Source organism: Homo sapiens, chromosome 9 (assembly GCF_000001405.40).
Source record: "Homo sapiens chromosome 9, GRCh38.p14 Primary Assembly".
Classification (NCBI taxonomy): domain Eukaryota; kingdom Metazoa; phylum Chordata; class Mammalia; order Primates; family Hominidae; genus Homo; species Homo sapiens.
Window position 1 is genome coordinate 40,604,080 of NC_000009.12, and position 18,565 is coordinate 40,622,644.

Sequence of the window (18,565 nt, forward strand, 5' to 3'; positions counted from 1 at the left end):
TATTATTTAGTCATAGTAAAGAACAAAATCCTGTTGTTTGTGGCAACAAGAATGCAAGTGGAGGGCATTATGTTAGGTGAAATAAGCCTGGCATAGAAATATAAACACCACATAACTACATGTTCTCACTTATGTATGGAAGCTAAAATTTTTAATCTCGTAGAAGTAGATAGTAGAGTTTTGGTTACCATATCCTGGAAAGAGTAGGAGAAAGAAGAGTATAAGAAAAATGTGCTTAATACATACAAAATTACAGCTGGAGAGAAGGAAGAAGTTCTAGTTCTCTACAGCACTGTTGGGTGACTGTAGTTAATGGGAATTTATTGTGTGTTTTCAAATAACTAAAAAGATTTTGAATATTCTCACTGCAAAGAAATAATACATGATTTAGGTAATGGATATGATAATGACTCTGACTTGATCTTTACGCATTGCATAAATATATCAAAATATCACTCTGTACCCCATAACATGTACATTTATTGTATGTCAATTAAAGTAAATTTAAAAGAGAAAAAATGAGGTAAAGGTAAATGTACAGAATTTAATTACTTTTTCTTCTATAAAACCCGAGTCAGTACCAAGAAGAGTCAATTTATTAGTTTTCTAAAATAAAAAAAATCAAAATCACCAAAAAAGAGCAATATCCAAGAAAACATTGAAAAGGAAACACAACATTTAGTAAGAATAGAAAACTTGGGCACTGTATCACCCTGTTCCTAGATACCGATTTACTGATGGCCATTTAAATAGAATTTTATTCTATCTAATTCATTTATACTCCCAGAGTTTGAAATTACATTTTACCTACAATAAATGAGATAACACTTGTAAATTATATGGTACTCTGCCTAACACACGTTAATAACTCAATAGATGTTAGCAATAAACTTTTACTATAGTAGTCAAAGTATTAATTTCTCACATTGCAATTTCCTTCAAAGACATAAATACAACCTTTCTAAAGACTCCTTGTTCATCAAGATACCTCTTCAAATTATTCTATTTGTTTCATTCAGTATATTATCTGTGTATACCGATATTACACTCTTTTCTTTTTTTGAGATGGAATCTCATTCTGTTACTGATGCTGGAGTGAGGTGGCATGATCTCGGTTCACTGCAACCTCCACCTCCCAGGTTCAAGCGATTCTCCTGTCTCAGCCCCCCAAGTAGCTAGGACTACAGGTGCACACCACCATGCCTGGCTAATTTTTGTGTTTTTAGTACAGTCAGAGTTTCACCCTGTTGTCCAGGCCGGACTCGAACTCCTGACCTCAGGTGATCCACCCACCATGGCCTCCCAAAGTGCTGGGATTACAGGCATAAGCCACCGCACCCAGCCTGATATTGCACTCTTGGATTTTGAACACTGAATATCTTTTTGAAAGATTACACCTCTTTACCTCTTCGTGCTTCAGAAATTATTTTCCTTCAAGTGTTCTAAGAGGCTAATGAAGAATGAAGTCATGTTTTATCACTTTTGTCCTTAAAGATTTCAGACATGCTGAAACTGATTGAAGTATCATTTGCTACCAGATAGATTAGTTATCTCTAGTTGTAGGAGTGGATACATCTTTAATGGTATATTTTGGTTTATTGTCTTATTTTTGATGTAGTATTCTATCAATAATTTATTAAACCTGGCATCCTTGGGTGAGCATGGATTTTTCAACTTTGGTGTTATATTGTGTTTGCTTTTAAAAACTGCTTTTGAGGCCAGGTATGGTGGCTCTTGCCCATACCCAGCACTCTGGGAGGCCAAGGTGGGCGGATTACCTCAAGTCAGGAGTTCAAGACCAGCCTGGTCAACATGGCAAAACCATGTCTCTACTAAAAACACAAAATTAGCCAGGCATGGTGGTGCATGCTTGTAGTCCTAACCACTCGAGAGGCTGAGGCAAGAGAATCACCTGAACCTGGGAGGCAAAAGTTGCTAGGTTGCTGTGAGCCAAATTCTCACCATTGCCCTCCAGCCTGGGTGAAAAGAGCAAAACTCTGTCTCAAAAAAAAAAAAAAAAAACGACCAAAAACTGCTTTTGAATGGAGTTGTACATACAATTTTGATGAAAAAAATTATCAAGTGCATAAGTTCATAATAGAAAAACCAATAATACTCCAGGCACAAGTTAGTACTAAAAAAATTATGTTGAATATGCTCTAATACAACATGCTTTTTCCCTTCATGAACAATTTGTGTTTTACTGAGAAGAGTCATTGTTTATGGTAGACATTAGACTACAGATGAATATGCACTTTAAACACTCTTAGTTGCTTTCTTAATTTTATATCTGCTGCTTTATGCTTCTGTTTATTTTCATTCTTTCCAATGTCCACATTCTAGTAAATTTGAATATTTTAATCCAAGTTTATATACTATTTAATATTGCTTGCATAGTTTAGTATTGTTAAGACTCAAAAAGGTTTACAGAAAGAAGAAAAAGATCAACATGTTATTAATCATTTAAAGATCATTTTGAAATCTTTGACCTTTATATTTTAATGAATAAAATATTAGTAGTTATTAGTATAAAATAATTTATGTCTTTTGGACTTAGCATCCAGTATTTCTTTTTTAATAAAGAAAATAATTATTCTCTTGCAATATACTGTGTTTACCTGGGTTTTGAAAAGTGATGTTTCCTAATATGAGAAAGCCATTTACATTTTTAAATCTACAAAGGCAAATGGAATGGTACTAAATTATTTATATAATAATGTTTAGATGGTGGCCCTTATAACATTCTTTCTATACTTCCTACAGAGTTGGGGATATGCAATCCTGGAATATTTCTGGGAGCTAATCCTTTAGCTTGATGAATGAAACAAGACTTTTAAATAAAATTAAACTTTCAAATTATCCAGGTAATGGGCCTGTCTTTTAATTCAATGGATATGGAGCATAATGAATTATCCCCTGTTCATTGGGTAATAAGTTCTCATTCTTAATTTATAATACTCAAAATATCCTTTAATTTTTAATTTTTGATAGTCATATCATTATCCCTAGGTATTTTAGCTTCTATCTTAAATTCTAAAATAATTTTGAGACAGGAGAAAGTATTCTTTATTACTATATGTATTAAACATCATGGTTTTCAAATTTAACTGCAAATGTATCTTTTCATTGCTTCTTGGTGACGCCCTTCACCCTATCCATATTGTCACTACCAAGTGGTGATTACTTTTCAGGTTCACATACTTATTCTTTAGAAAAATCTTCTCTGTGCCTTATAAAGAATATGATTGTTGGCATTGAAAAGCCAGTGAAATATACATTATTAGCCTGTTGCCTAACTCATTTATTTAAGAAACTACACTAATTACCCACATACTTATGTTTTTATTTACTCATTATTTCTGGAGAAAACAAATACTGCTAACATGATATTTGTAAGAGAGAAAAAAGTCTTTTCTTGAAAAGTGCTGTCATTGTAGTACTAACTTATAGTATCAACTTCTTTATCAACTCCTTATACACTTTTTATTCTGAGAGAAATAAAAAAGCTAAAAGTGAAATGACTTTGTAACTCTCCATATTATAAGCACCCATCTTGGTAATTTAGGGTCTTTATAGTTAGGGTAAGTTGTGTCATACCGAGGTTACAAAATAAAAAGTATTTTGTCTCTTTGGGCCTTTCCTTATTCAGTAATACTGTCAGTTTGGCTTTTTTTGTAGGTCAACTTATTGAACTCAGTATTCTGAAATAATGTGTTTACTATCTTTTGATAAGCATTTAAAATATTAGATTTATTATTACTCTTCTGCCTTCATTGGGCTGGAAGAATAATTGTTTCACTCCACAAAAGCCAAGTTGCAGAGAAAAACACATAGACATTCAACTGCAAAGCAGAGAAACTTGACTATTTTCTGCAATTTTAAAGTGTATATTGAATAAAACCATCTTTTTATTTTCTTTTTTGCTCACTGGCAAATATTAACAACATCAAGTGCGTTATTATAATGTTATCTAGTTAAAAATCTCAAAAAGTTTTCATAATTACCATTTAAAAATGTATAAATAAGTGACCTAATGTTAATTTTTATTGTCTGAGACCATGTCTGTTATTTCACTCTTTAAATTCAGTTAGTAATGCAGAACCTAGCACTTAGTAGATACTCAAAAATTATTTGCTGAATAAAAAAAGGTTAAACATGTAATATACACAAAATGTACTGGAAAAAATGCACCAAACAATTTTGTTATACCAGTTTAATGTAAATATTGTCTTTAAAAGATAATATAGTTTTCAGGTGTCTACAGTGATTTTGTAATATTTGTGCACATATAAAGTAATATTTCCAAAAATGTAATCCAGTGGGGAAATATACTTTCTAAATTCTAGATTTATAATTTAGGGTTTAAATTATAAAATCATTAAATAAGACACAAGTGAAATATAGTCAAATATCCCCTTGGAAAAAAATTAAGTGGCCTCTAAAGTGAGGTATTCATATATGTAATTTTACAATCCTCTAGTGATAGAATTAATTAAATATGCCACCAAATTGATTAATTCCTACAGTGTTAAAAGAGAAGCACTAACAATGCCAGTGACCATGTAACATAGATTTAAGCTACAAGTCATAGAAATGTGATGAGAAGCCTCAGCACTGTAAAACCGAGGGTGGAGGAAAGCTTTTCCTCTCTCAAATGAGCTTTGCGAGGTATACTTCTTGAAGGATAGGAAGTTGAAGTGTTCAGGACTTTTATGTCTATTCTACTTTGGCTTAGTTTACATGATTCTTAGTTTATTAGCCTAGAAATGGCCAAGAAAACTTAAGGCTCAATATTTAGTTATAAATATGAAATATCCCCAATTTTTAAGATAAAAACAACTTATAAATGTATTTGTCTGTAAAAATTGTGTATATTTTTACAGAACATCTATTTCTTTCTTTATTTTTTTATTTTTTTTATACTTTAAATTCTAGGGTACACATGAACAATGTGCAGGTTTGTTGCATATGTATACGTGTGCCATGTTGGTGTGCTGCACCCATTAACTCATCATTTATGTTAGGCATATCTCCTAATGCTATCTCTCCCCCCTCCCCCCACCCCACAACAGGCCCTGGTGTGTGATGTTCCCCTTCCTGTGTCCAAGTGTTCTCATTGTTCAATTCCCACCTATGAGTGAGAACATGCGGTGTTTGGTTTTTTGTCCTTGCGATAGTTTGCTGAGAATGATGGTTTCCAGCTTCATCCATGTCCCTAGTAAGGACATGAACTCATCATTTTTTATGGCTGCATAGTATTCCATGGTGTATAATGAACCTGAAACGGGAAAGGGCGAGATTAACTAAGCCTGTTTGCCATGGACAGCAATGGGGTTGCTAGAAGATTAGCTGTGTGGAAAAATTATGCATTTACCTTTGGGCATAATAAAATGCAATTGACTCTCCATATTCATGGGTTCTGCATCCACCGATTCAAACAACTGTGGAACAAAATTGTCAGAAAAAACAATACAATGATAAAAAATGATACAAATAAAAAACAACATGGTATACCAACTATTTACATAGCATTTACATCGTATTAATTGTTATTAAGTAATCTAGAGATGATTTAAAGTATATAGGAGGATGTGTGTAGGTTATATGCAAATACTACACTATTTTATACCAGTAACTTGAGCATCCATGGATTTTGGTATACAAGGGGGATCCTCGAACCAATTCCCCATGCATATCAAAGGATGACTGTATGAGTTATCTGTAAAATGGTTTGGTTGAAATGTTAAGAAAACAGCTAGAAATACAAGACTGGCTGTTGGATGAAAAAAACATAGGACTAGGAAATTCAGGTATGCTAGTCTTTTTGAGTATTGCTTAAAGCCATGGGAAAAGAGCTCTCTGTGAGTTCCAAGACAGATGCAAGGACTGGCATTCATGCACAGCTTCTAACAGATAAATCTGAAGAGTTCTTAGTATGCATGTTGACTGAAATTACTTTAGAAGTAATTTTCTCCTGGTGATAAAAGGCATGTAAGGCTATTTTAGGAAATTGAAAAATGCAAAAAGTATAAAGAAAAAGAAAAGATAATCATTAATAGTACGTTAGTAAACAAGACTTGACTAAAGATATGACTTTCCTCCTGCTTGTTTTCTTATGCATATAAAGGGATAGGAAATATGTATGTATGTATGTGTGTGTATAGGATCATGCACTATATATAGCTTGCTTCTTTTTCCATTATGATAATTTTCCCATGTCATGAATTACGGCTTGCAAGTGCTTATTCTTAAAGGGCTGCATTATTTTTCATTATTTGGATTTATTGTTATTTAATTGGAGCTCTATTATTGAACATTTAGATTGCTTCCAAAATTTTTTGCTCTTGTTAATATATTGTAATAAACTTCTGTGAAACACATACTCTTCACCTGCTACTTACATATGACTTCTGTAAGCAGAGACCTCTGTATCCCCAGGACCTAGAAGGTTACCCGGACATAGTAGTTGCTTAATTAAAAAAAATTATTGATTGAATGAAAGAAGACTATTAAATGTTCAGTTCTTCTTTTTTTATTCTGATTCCCTGTGTATCCAGGGGCCTCTTATTTGGCTGCATGTATGAGTTTGGCTGTAATGAAAGTATTGGCTGTATATGACCATAAACAGGCATTCCTATTTCTGTCACAGTTATATTTGTCATTCTGTATTAATACATCTATATCCTGATTTCTATTGAAGCATGGTTAATTTTGTTTGCTTCTAAGCAATGTAGCTACCCTGTTGATGCTGATAAAAATAAATTTCTGAACCTATAAGACTGAGGATTGGGCCTAGGTTGTAGTAAATTGGCAAGATAATGGATGCTACCCTGTCAAGAGTCCTCTGAAGAGAAAAGTCTGCCACCCTTCACCAGGTAGAAACTCCAGGCAGTGCCACATTTTCCAGTTTGACGCCCTGTGATACCCTGAAAAGACAGATGTTTGACTCTTTTCAAATAATATTTTAACATATTTTAAGACGCAAAGGCATTGTGTCGGACTTTTTTCTTAAGAATATATTTCATTACCACTCAGAAGTTAGCTTCCAAAAGAAATAAGTGTGTGCAAAGGTTTATGATAGTGGTGTAGAGAAGTTTTTAAAATAAATGTGCATCTTTTATGGTAATAAAAGCACATTACGAAGAATTTTTTAGGTCCAGTTCACAGATTCCTTGTGCCTGGGGAAAACTTTATTAGAAAATTAGATAATTTCTAATTTGATTAGGGGAAGTCTAATGGGAAAACTTTTTAACTGAGCGGTCCAATTTGAAACATGAATATCTGTGCTGGAAGCTTCTATTGAACTTTACTTAAGTCACATCTGAGACCCTCTGCCTGTCAGTCCACCATTACCCTAACAGTGGTAGAAATTCTTTATATGACACCTAGATCTTTTTTTGTTGCACTTTTAAGCTGTGTAGGAAACACACTGCCCACATGTTCATACAACACAGAGTGATTATCCACTTAGTTCCTAAAAAGTTGTGTTTGGTTATGGGATTTGATCCCACTTGTCCAGGGTTTAGGTCAGCTACTGAAGATTAGGATATCTGGGTACCTCTTACTGGAGAATCCATTCCTGTTTTCATTTCATTCCTGGGGGCAATATTCAATCTGGTGTGGCCCTCTGTATTATAAAATGTTTCCCAGATTGTGTTTATCTGAAATACAAATCCAAGAAGAAGCATGGTGTTAATTGCCATGTAAAAAAGATTCCAGAGTCAAGAGCTTGAGAAGTTCTATTCCTTCCTTCATAGGTTCAGTTGTTTAACTCAGCATTTTTCAAACATATTTTACTCCTAGAACCTGTTTTTCCTCAGACATATTTAAGAAAAAAGCATTTTGTAGAACACATTTGGACAAATGATACTTTATATCATTGCTTTGTTTTTTAAATTTTAGTTTGACTCAATTTTACAGTTTCAGGATTTTGTTTCTGTTTCAGGTTTTAAGCTTTTCTTTTATAAATAGTTACTTTCCTAGTCTGAAATCTATACATTGTTTCAGTAATGAATTCATTATGTAAATTTGCCCATCATTCATCTAAAGGGAATAAACATTAAATTGTTTTTTTAAATTTTGACTTGTGTCACATGAGAATATAAAGTATATCTGTACAATAAAGGAAAATGAAACATCAAAGTATCTACCTCAGGTTAAGAAGCAGAACTTGGCTGGGCATGGTGGCTCACACCTGTAATCCCAGCACTTTGGGAGGCAGAAGTGGGAAGATCACTTGAAGCCAGGAGTTGGAGACCAGCTTGTTCAATAAAGGAAGACCTCATCTCTAACAACAACCACAACAGCAAAAAACAAGCCAGGCACGGTGACACATGCTTATAGTCCCAGCTACTGGTGCAGCCTCGAACTCCTGGTCTCAAGCCATCTTCCCACCTCAGCCTCATGTTGTAGTGAACTTTGTTATGCAGTGTCTCCTATTCTACTTGTGCAGGAGTATTTTTCCTGTATGTACCTGGAGTGGAATTGCTTGGTCATTGGGCATGTGTGTGTTCAGCTCTATTGAGTGGCATCATACTGTTCTCCAAGGCAGTTGTACCAATCTACACCCTCACCAGCAGTGAATAGTCTTCCCATTGTTCTTCCTCAATGAAACTAGATATTCACAGCCTTTTAGGTTTTTCCTAGAGTATGAAGTGGTATCTCTTTGGGGTTTTAATGTTTATTTCCCTGATTAGAATTGTAGTTGAGCATCTTTTATTGTGTTTATGGGCCATTTATGTTTTCTCTTCTGTGAAATTCCTATACGGGTTTTTTGCTCATTTTAAATGTTGTTGTTTGTGTTTTTCTTATATAGGAATTCTTCACGCATTCAAGATGCACGTATGTTGTTCAGAATAGTACCTGAGACATAGAAACAACTTTGTAAGAATAGCTATCATTACATTACCATTGTATTTAATCTTTTGTTTTTATGTGTTACAATTATCTTCTGCTAATTTGTGGCTTATTTTTCATTCTGTAATGCTAATTTTTTAACCTAGTATTCTATTATTTTAAAAATACACAATCTTGAGTAGTCTACATGTTCATAACCATGACATATTCATGTTGCATATGTTCTGTGTCATAACCCAGAACTTTCTTTTTTTTTTTTTTTTTTTTTGAGATGGAGTTTTGCTTTTGTCACCCAGGCTGCAGTGCAATGGCGTGATCTTGGCTCACTGCAACCTCTGCCTCCTGGGTTCAAGAGATTCTCCTGCCTCAGCCTCCCGAGTAGCTGGGATTACAGGCACCTGCCACCATGCCCAGCTAATTTTTGTATTTTTAGTAATGGTGTTGTTTCGCCATGTTGGCCAGGCTGGTCTCGAAATCCTGACCTCAGGTTATCTGCCCACCTTGGCCTCCCAAAGTGTTGAGATTACAGGCATGAGTAGCTGCACCCGGCCAACTTTCAATCTTAAGTACCATTTTTTGCTGCTGTTTCTTTTTTTGAACCCCAGGAAAAAATTAACTCATTTAATCCCCTATTCAAACTGCTACAATTTTATTTTCAGTGTTGTCGCCTGGTTGTAGATGCATTTGTCTCTCCAAATGCACTGTGATTATTTCGAAGACAAAACATTTTTGGCATTGTGATATATATATATATATATATATATATATATATATATATATATATATATATGTATATATGTATGTAATATATATGTATGTATATATGTATATAATATAGTATAAATATTTATGTTTTATATGTCATATAAAATTTATATATAAAAATTATATATATATATATATATAAATGCCACTTATCCCTAATATAGGGACTCGATTAGTTTCTGCTAGTGTGGAGACAAGTCATATCATGGCTAGGGGCCATGATGGTAGGAGCAGTCAGAGGATTTCTTGCATTGTGATGAGTGCCTATAAGTTAAATGAGCCACTTATCAGTAGATTTGATAGCAGGATAATAGTTATATCACTGATACCTAGGCAGTACATGACACTCGGTAAAGAATAGATTAATCCTCGTGCTCTTCATCTTCCTCCTAATCTCTTTACCTGTGCTGCCCTCCAGCTTTCAAAGTGCTCTGAGTCATCACTTACACAGTGTTCCTTAGCTGCCCCTTCAGTGAGCCAGTGTTTCTGTGCCCCAGTGTTCCTGAGAGTTAGAACACAGAAAACAGAGCAGGCTCTTGCCCACATCACAGAACATCTTTGTCTCCCTGTGGATCCCGCACATTTGTTCATTAGAGCTCAGGAATTGCCAGAGACTGGCTTTTGTGGCAATGGACACTAGATTCTTCAGAAGAATATTGGTTGAAATCTTCCTGCTGTGACAATTCCCTGCATGCAGGGCAGGAGTGTGTGCTTCTTCCCAGCAAAGGCAGAGGCAGGGCCTACAGAAACTGTGCCCGCAGCCTATAGTGATGGGGTCTATGAGGTAATTCAGGCAGATAAGGCAGGTGAGTTCTTTCTGGAAGGCTTGTGGGAAGTCTAAGTCCATTTTTCTGAGGGAAGAAAACCAGAAGAATTTATTCTTATGCCACAGAGAGGCAAAGATCTACACAAAGTTTGAATCAGGTTTTGAGTAGGATTCGCTCACAGGTTTAAATCTATAGCAGGATACGATTTTATTTTGCACATAACAAAAATGAAAAACTGAGGCATAGAATTCAAGCTTTGCAGAAAAATGTGTTGGCTCCCTAACCAACACACACACACACACACACACACACACACACACCTACTTTCCAAATTCTTTCCTCCTGTATGAAAAAAACTTAAGGCTGGGCACAGTGGCTCATGCTTGTAATCCAGCACTTTGGGAGGCTGAGGCAGCAGGATTGCTTGATCCAAGGAGTCCAAGACCAGCCTGGGCAACATGATGAGACCCTGTCTCTACAAAAAGAAAAGGAGAAAAAAATTAGCTGAGCATGCCAATAGTCCCAGCTACTAGGGAGGCTGAGGTGAGAGGATTACTTGAGCCTAGGAGGTCAAGGCGGCAGTGAGCCATAATCCAGCCACTACACTCTAGCCTGAATGACAGAGCAAGACTCTGTCTCAGAAATGAACAAAGAAAGAAAAAGAGAGAGAGAGAGGGAGGGAAGGAGGAAGGAAGGAAGGAAGGAAGGAAGGAAGGAAGGAAGGAAGAAAAGGAAGGAAGGAAGTTTACAGAGGTTTTTGAGGTGTTAGTGTTCCCTAAATTGTATGGTCTTCAGAGGTTTACCCTCCTATAGCTTCAAGGGGTGAGTCCTGACTGGTAGGAAAATCAATCACACTCTTACTTGCCAGTGATTCATTTAGGGAAGACAGCTAACTAAGCTCTTCCACTTTGATTATTTCATTTAATTGTAACAACCATCTTATTATGACTTCTTCAAAATTACCCTGCCAGTAAGTGTTGGAGGACTCCCCAGAAGCAGAAACCACCATGCTTCCTGTATAGCCTACGGAACCATGAGCCAACTAAAGGTGTTTCTCAGGTATTTCTTTATATCTTTGGCCAAAATTAAAGAGTTAGGCTTTACTCTCCAAGATACTGCAATGGACAAAAACAAGCCACCACTGTTTTCTAATGTTGTTTTCTTGTTAATTCAATCAACAAGTATTTTCTGGTAAGTTTAGTGTTCCAGAGACTGGTAACCTGGTGATGCACCAGTTAATAAAACATCCTTAAGAGAAATAAAAGTTGAAAAATGAACCAGATGATAAAATGCAGTAGTGTACACAATGCCACTTATCCACAGGTCTTCTGTGTGTCACCCATGATCCAGAAAATGTCTTTAGTATAAGCCATTGATAAAGATGCCTGAAAAATTTACGTATAGAAGACATAGTCGCAAAATTATTTTTTTCCTTTGATATCCCTTGTTACTTCAAACAGAATTTACCACTCCAATTCGATTTCTGAATACATGGGAGTTAATAGAATACTCCTAATCCATTTATAGGATCTACACTAAGTAAAAAATTTAAAGACATCTGAAAACTATTTTGTGAGTCCTTATAATCCATATCAACAATCATGGAATATATTAAGTAATAGACCAAAAATTAATCATCATATTAACCAAAAACACATAGCAAGACAAGATAACTAAATATTTTCATTTGGAAATTGGGAAATTTAGTCAATTTTAAAACTCAGCAAATGAGATCATTTCACAGAAGCAACCTAGGTTTGCTGGTAAATTAAAATTATGACATTTTGTTTTGGTTTGGGAGGGTAGTTCCTCTTCTGTAAATTGTGTACTCACATAAGAAATATATCTATGTTCTCACGGACACTTGCTGTAGAGGTAATAATATGAAGTTAGCTCAGGGATCAGGGCCTCACAGTGCAGTGCTGGTAGTTTTTTTTTTTGTTGTTTTTTGTTTTTTTTTGCCCTGCACCTTGAGTAAAAGTTTCCTGAGGCCTCCCCGGAAGCAGAAACCACCATGCTTCCTGTATAGCCTATGGAACTGTGAGCCAACTAAAGGTATTTCTCATGTATTTCTTTATAGGAATGCAAGAGCGTACTAATACAGCTAAGCAGAGGCCATCAGGACCAGCAAAAGTCTGAGCTGGATGAGAGACAAAGCTAAACTTAGAGCAGCAGCAGGAGCTGCCAGGGATTACAGAAAGGAAGGACTGACTCCTAAATTCCAGGATGTCTCCTTTAAGTCTGTAAGAAGCTCAGCCACTGTCTCCTTACCTGACTCCTCTGGGAAAGAGTTTCCCTAGGTTAAACCATACAGGGATAGGGTAGGAGATGCCATTTGGATCTAGGAGCAGAGGGCAGAGACTCAGCAGGAAGAGTGTCTCTTTGAGAAGGATACACAGTGGAGCAGGTGTGTAGGTTCACAGGGCCAGCTATGGGTAGAGTCGGGTGTACATTTTTAGAAGCCACAATTCCCAAAAATCTCCTGACTATAAGATCAGTGCACAGAGCCAGTCAAATGGAGGAGGAGTGGGTCCAGGCAATTCAGGAAGAAGGAAAGTAACAAATGAGTGGTTGCAGGAGGACACTTTTTCTGTCGAGGTCACTAAACAAAACATTGTCTCCTCCCCTTAACTTCAGAAACAATGGAGGGTAAAAGTGTTGCCTGGGCCCTGGGGGCAAAGGCAGTAGATAACTTCTCTGTCGTGTTCTCCAGAAGGGCCCATTCCAGCCTCACAGGCCGAGAAGTCTGTTCGGTTCCCAAGTACTAGAGATGCTGCTATAAGGGACTCCTGAATTTCCTTCCTGAACCAGAGGCTGCCCAGCCTTTTCTTCCTGTTTTATTTTTTCCCAGGAAGAAACTTGCCTGTACAATTACAAGGTTCTACGGTTCTAAATTCCAATCTAGTCTTCCACATCATTTTGAAGGTATAATATTACTTGTCAAAGTGGGATGATAGAAGATATGTGTGGACATAAATTGTTGACAAGGAAAAAAACTAAAATCAGAAAATAAGAAAAAATATATGTATGTACAGTGGTTAGCTAGAAATGTGCCTTTTAAATATTTGGCATGTGGTATGTGTGCCTCAATGTGTACTATTGCACTAGCTTCCCAAATATTAAAGGATGTCTTTTAAAAGAAAAACCTCTTGCTAAAAGGTTAACAGTTAAAATAACCAGAGTGGCACAGGTACCAGTCATTAAGTGAAACCTTTCATCTTCCCAGAATAGTACCTGTTCCCAAGCCAGCTTCTTTGAAAATCACTTTTCTCTCCTTTACTATTTAGTTTACAGATTGTATAGTAACAATACAGAAACCACAATAGTAGCAAAAAAAATAAAGAATATTTTTAAATGAAAACTCACATCCTAACTCTACCAAAACATGAAAATTAAACCTGAATGCCTCCCATTCCTGATATATTTTCACCTAAATATTCAGCTCTGGGATTGCATTGTTTTTGGATTGAGTGGAAATTATTGCCTGGTCTTGAAATCTTCCATAATGTGTGTGTGTGTGTGTGTGTGTGCGTGTGTGCATGTGTGTGTGTGTATATGTATGTATGTGTGGTGAATATATTTCTTTTTGTTCGGAGCAAAGATTTTTTCAATATGTATATTTATTTTAGGCAGATTATGCTAGTAATTTTCTACAAATGTGCTTTTTAAAAAATAACCTTTAATTTAAAAAAAATTATTCTTACTCAGTGGCCCACAATTGTTAAAAACGCTACTAATGGAGCTGGGTATGGTGACACACACCTGTCATCCCAGCTACTTGGGAGACTGAGGCAGGGGTATTGCTTAAACTTGGGAATGTGAAACCAGCCTGGGCAACATAGTGAGATCCCAATCTCAAAAATCAATCATTAAAAAATAAAATAAAATAAAACACTACTAATAGCTTTTTAAAAAATAGTTCTTAACCAATTTTCCTAGCACCTTCCTTTCCTCAGTGAAGTATAGAAATATGTGGTCAGTCACTGTGGCTCACACCTATAATCCCAATAATTTGGGAAGCCAAGGCATGAGGATCAGTTGATTCCAGGAGTTCAAGACTAGCCAGGGTGACATAATGAGACTTGGTCTCTAACGAAATTTTTTTTTCTTTAATTACCAGGGCATGAGGGTGCATGCCTGTAGCCCAGCTACTTGGAAGGCTGAGGTAGGAGAATCACTTGAGCCCAGGAGGTGAAGGCTGCAGTGAGCCATGGTTGCACCACTGCACTCCATACCTGGGTGACAGAGTGAGACACAGTAACAAAAACAAACAACAACAAAAAGTATTTGTTTTAGAAAAAACATTTGGTGAGATTTGGGCTTAAAAATATATTATTCTAAAATATTCATAAATATTCTCTAGTAATGATAAGATTAAAGTGACAAAGACAAACTTTTTTCCTGTGCAGTTCCATCTCTCACCTTCCTGTAATTTGTCTGTCCCATCCAGCTTCCAAAGGAAATTATTTACAAAATAATGTCTGCATCCTGGGTCTATATATCTATTGCCTATGAGGAGAGCGTTTAAGATCTGAGCCATCTTCAAGTCTTATACTTTGTGTATAGCTCTCATGTTTTTGCAGGTTATGTAAGTTTGTATACCCTTTCTTTTATTAATCTGTGTATGGTCAGTTCATTTCCGGTAATCTTCAGAGGGTGAAAGGGGAAGCTTTTCACTTCACTCCTACTGTGACAACTAACTACCTTCTTACTTATTCAATTTTTTAGTCTATATCAACATTTTTATATACATTTACTTTTAAACAAAATTTTGCATCATTACACTTAAAATTTTATTTAACTTTTAAAAAGGAAATTAAAAATAAAATTAAAAATTATAAAATTTTACATAATAAAAATAAAATAAATGATTTATATAAAAATTAATCTGACCTGTGAAAAACACTGTCCAGAGGCCAGGTGCGGTGGCTAACGCTTGTAATCCCAGCACTTTGGGAGGCCGAGGTGGGTGGATCACGAGGTCAGGCGATCTAGACCACGATGAAACCCCTCTCTACCAAAAATACAAAAAATTAGCGGGGCGTAGTGGCGGGCGCCTGTAGTCCCAGCCACTCGTAGAGGCTGAGGCAGGAGAATGGCGTGAACCCGGGAGGCGGAGCTTGCAGTGAGCCGAGATCGTGCCACCGAAATCCAGCCTGGGTGACAGAGCCAGACTCTGTCAAAAAAAAAAAAAAAAGAAAGAAAAAAGAAAAACACTATCGAGAGAATAAAAAGACAAATCACAGACTGGGAGTAAAAATTTACAAAAGCTATATCTGGTGAAGATACATTTGTTATCCAAAATATGCAAAGAACTCTCAGGACTCAATAATAGGAAAACAAATAGTCTAACACAAATGTAGAGATCTGAACAGACATTTCACCATAGAATACAGATGGACGATACATAAGCACATCATTCATCATTAGGGAAATGTAAATTAAAACCACAATGAGATACTGTTACTTGCCTATTAGAATAGCTAAAATTTAAAAGACTGACCATACTAAACATTGGTGAGAACACAAAGGAACAGGAATGCTCATATACTGCTGCTGGAAATACAGCCACTTTGTCAGTTTCTTTAAAAGTTAAACTGGCTGGGAGCGGTGGCTCACGCCTGTAATCCCAGCACTTTGGGAGGCCAAGGCGGGCGGATCACGAGGTCAGGAAATCGAGACCATCCTAGCTAACACGGTGAAACCCCATATCTACTAAACATACAAAAAATTAGCCGGGCGTGGTGGCGAGCACCTGTAATCCCAGCTACTCCGGAAGCTGAGGCAGGAGAATGGCGTGAACCCGGGAGGTGGAGCTTGCAGTGAGCCGCGATGCACCACTGCACTCCAGCCTGGGCGACAGAGCGAGACTCCGTCTCAAAAAAAAAAAAAAAAAAAAAAGTTAAACATATCACACCACCTAGTCATTCAAATCCTGCTTATTTGCCCAAGACAAATGAAAGTGTATGTCCAAACGATTGGACAAACATTCGTAGCAACTTTATTTGAAATAGCAAAAACAACTGGAAGCAAACCAAATGTCCATCAAGAGGTGAATAGATACACTAACTGTAGAATATCCACACAATAAAACTATTTTTTTAAAAACTACGGGGCAAAAAACAAAAAACCAAAGATAGAATCTAATTTCTTGGTAAATACATTCACTATTAGGGTTTTTATAACAGAGAAGTCATTCTTTATTAACACTCTTTTGACTATGAAAATATTTTAACATCAAAAATCTGCAAAATATGAAGAAACAAAGGACACACAGCTTTTTCTATTTTTTATTTTTATTTTATTTTTATTTTTTTGAGAAGGAGTCTCTTTCTGTCACCCAGGCTGGAGTGCAGTGGCGCGATCTTAGTTCACTGCAAGCTGCGCCTCCCGGTTCACGCCATTCTCCTGCCTCAGTCTCCCGAATAGCTGGGACTACAGGCGCCCGCTACCAAGCCCGGCTAATTTTTTGTATTTTTAGTAGAGACGGGGTTTCACCGTTAGCCAGGATGGTCTCAATCTCCTGACCTCGTGATCTGCCCGCCTCGGCCTCTCAAAGTGCTGGGATTACAGGCGTGAGCCACCACCCCCGGCCCCAGGACACACAGCTTTAAAATTTCTCCTTGGTCTCACCCAGTGCCAACCACCTAAAACCTCTCATTTTCCCCCAGACATTTCTTCTGCCTCCAGGATGGAGGTAGAGAATCTTGGCCTTGGACCACGCACTGGGGACCATGCTGGGCTGCCGTGGACAGTGACGGACTCAGGTTCTCACCAGGATCCCCAAAATAGGCCCCTGAAAAAAATGTTACCATCAGGGTGCGCTCCCTGATTCTTGTGTCTGCTGGAAGGAGGAAATCAAGCCAGGAACATTGTCAGGATAGAGATGAAAATGGGGCTCACTTTTCTGTCTTTTGTGATGTCAGACAAGCCTTTCAGCTCTGTCTCTTCAGCCCTCATGGAATTGTTTGGTGTGGACGCACCGAGATTCTGAACTGGGTCCCCTTTCCCTCTGCCCTTCTCTGGGGCCAGATTCTGAGCTCTCCATTCCAATTTTTCCCCCAATTTGCCCTTGCATTTATTTATCTGGATTACTGTCTGCCTGTCCCAAAGAATAAAAGCTTTATCACAGTGGGGATTTTGTTTAAAAAAATAATAATAACAGCTATATTTTTAGGATCCATGACACTGTCCAGCATATCGGTGGTATCTGATAAAAAATGTTTGTTGACTGGATGAACAAATATATTATTCACAATTCACATTATCCTGAACTGGCTAGAAAATTAAATATCTGATATCAGTATTGGCAATATTATGAAGTAAATATAAGTCTGATACAGTGCTCGTGAAAGTCTAATATGCAATGCTCATTTTAGAAAACATTTTCTTGTAGATTTGAAAATGTTTCATCTCCATGAACTAGTTGTATATCTGCAAGTTGTGTATCTTTGGGTTAGGCAGAATAATTGCCCCCCACCAAAGACAGCCACATCCCAGTCTTCAGATAAGGTGAACATGCTAACGTAAGTTAGCATGTTCAAAGAGACTTGGCAGATGTGATTACCATTAAGGGCATTGAAATGGGGAAATTACCTTGAATTACCTTGGTGAGCCAGTCTAATCTCATAATTCCTTGAGAGCAGAGAATATTTTCTGGATGCTGAGATTCAGACAGATGGCAGTATGAGAAAGATGTGGCCTGCTATTACTGGCTTTTAAAACAGTGGTAGGGGGCCACAAGCCAAGAAAAGCCAGTGACCTTTAGAAGCTGGGAATGACCCAAAGTTTACAACCAGGAAGAAACTGAAGATCTACAACCACAAGGAACTGAATTCTGCCAACAACCCAGATGCTCTTTTAGAGCCTTCAGAAAGAAATGCAGCCTGCCAACATCTTGATGTTAGTTCAGTGAGAGCCATGCCAGATTTCCAACCAAAACAATTCTAAGACAATAAGTCTGTGTGTGTTTTTTAAAACTGACTCAAATCTTACAAAAATGTGTTCTTTTAAGCCACTGAATTTGTGGTAAATTGTTACAGCAGGAATAGAAAACTGATACAACCCTAGAGAAAGTCTTGTACATGTGCCCTATAAACACACAGCAGAATTTTTTTAACTTTTTATTGAGTTAAAAAATATATATATATAATTTACCATCTGTACATTTTTAGAGG

At 36.7% G+C, this 18,565-nt stretch overlaps 2 long non-coding RNA genes across 7 annotated transcripts in view; one reads left to right on the forward strand and one right to left on the reverse strand.

Moving 5' to 3' along the window:
* LOC107984006 (uncharacterized) overlaps window positions 1-18,565 on the forward strand; it is a 52,131-nt gene that overhangs the window by 19,889 nt on the left and 13,677 nt on the right. The window lies entirely within an intron of this gene.
* On the reverse strand, window positions 5,242-18,069 carry LOC107986993 (uncharacterized). Of its 4 annotated transcripts, XR_007061508.1 has the most exons (4): window positions 10,713-10,809; window positions 7,559-7,661; window positions 5,375-5,441; window positions 5,242-5,278 (listed from the first exon to the last, which is right to left on the reverse strand). It is a non-coding gene; the product is annotated as an uncharacterized LOC107986993 (long non-coding RNA). The 4 variants fall into 4 exon arrangements; XR_007061509.1 differs by lacking the exons at window positions 5,242-5,278; window positions 5,375-5,441; window positions 10,713-10,809 and adding exons at window positions 6,165-6,926; window positions 17,995-18,069; XR_007061507.1 differs by lacking the exons at window positions 5,242-5,278; window positions 5,375-5,441; window positions 10,713-10,809 and adding exons at window positions 6,165-6,926; window positions 17,985-18,066.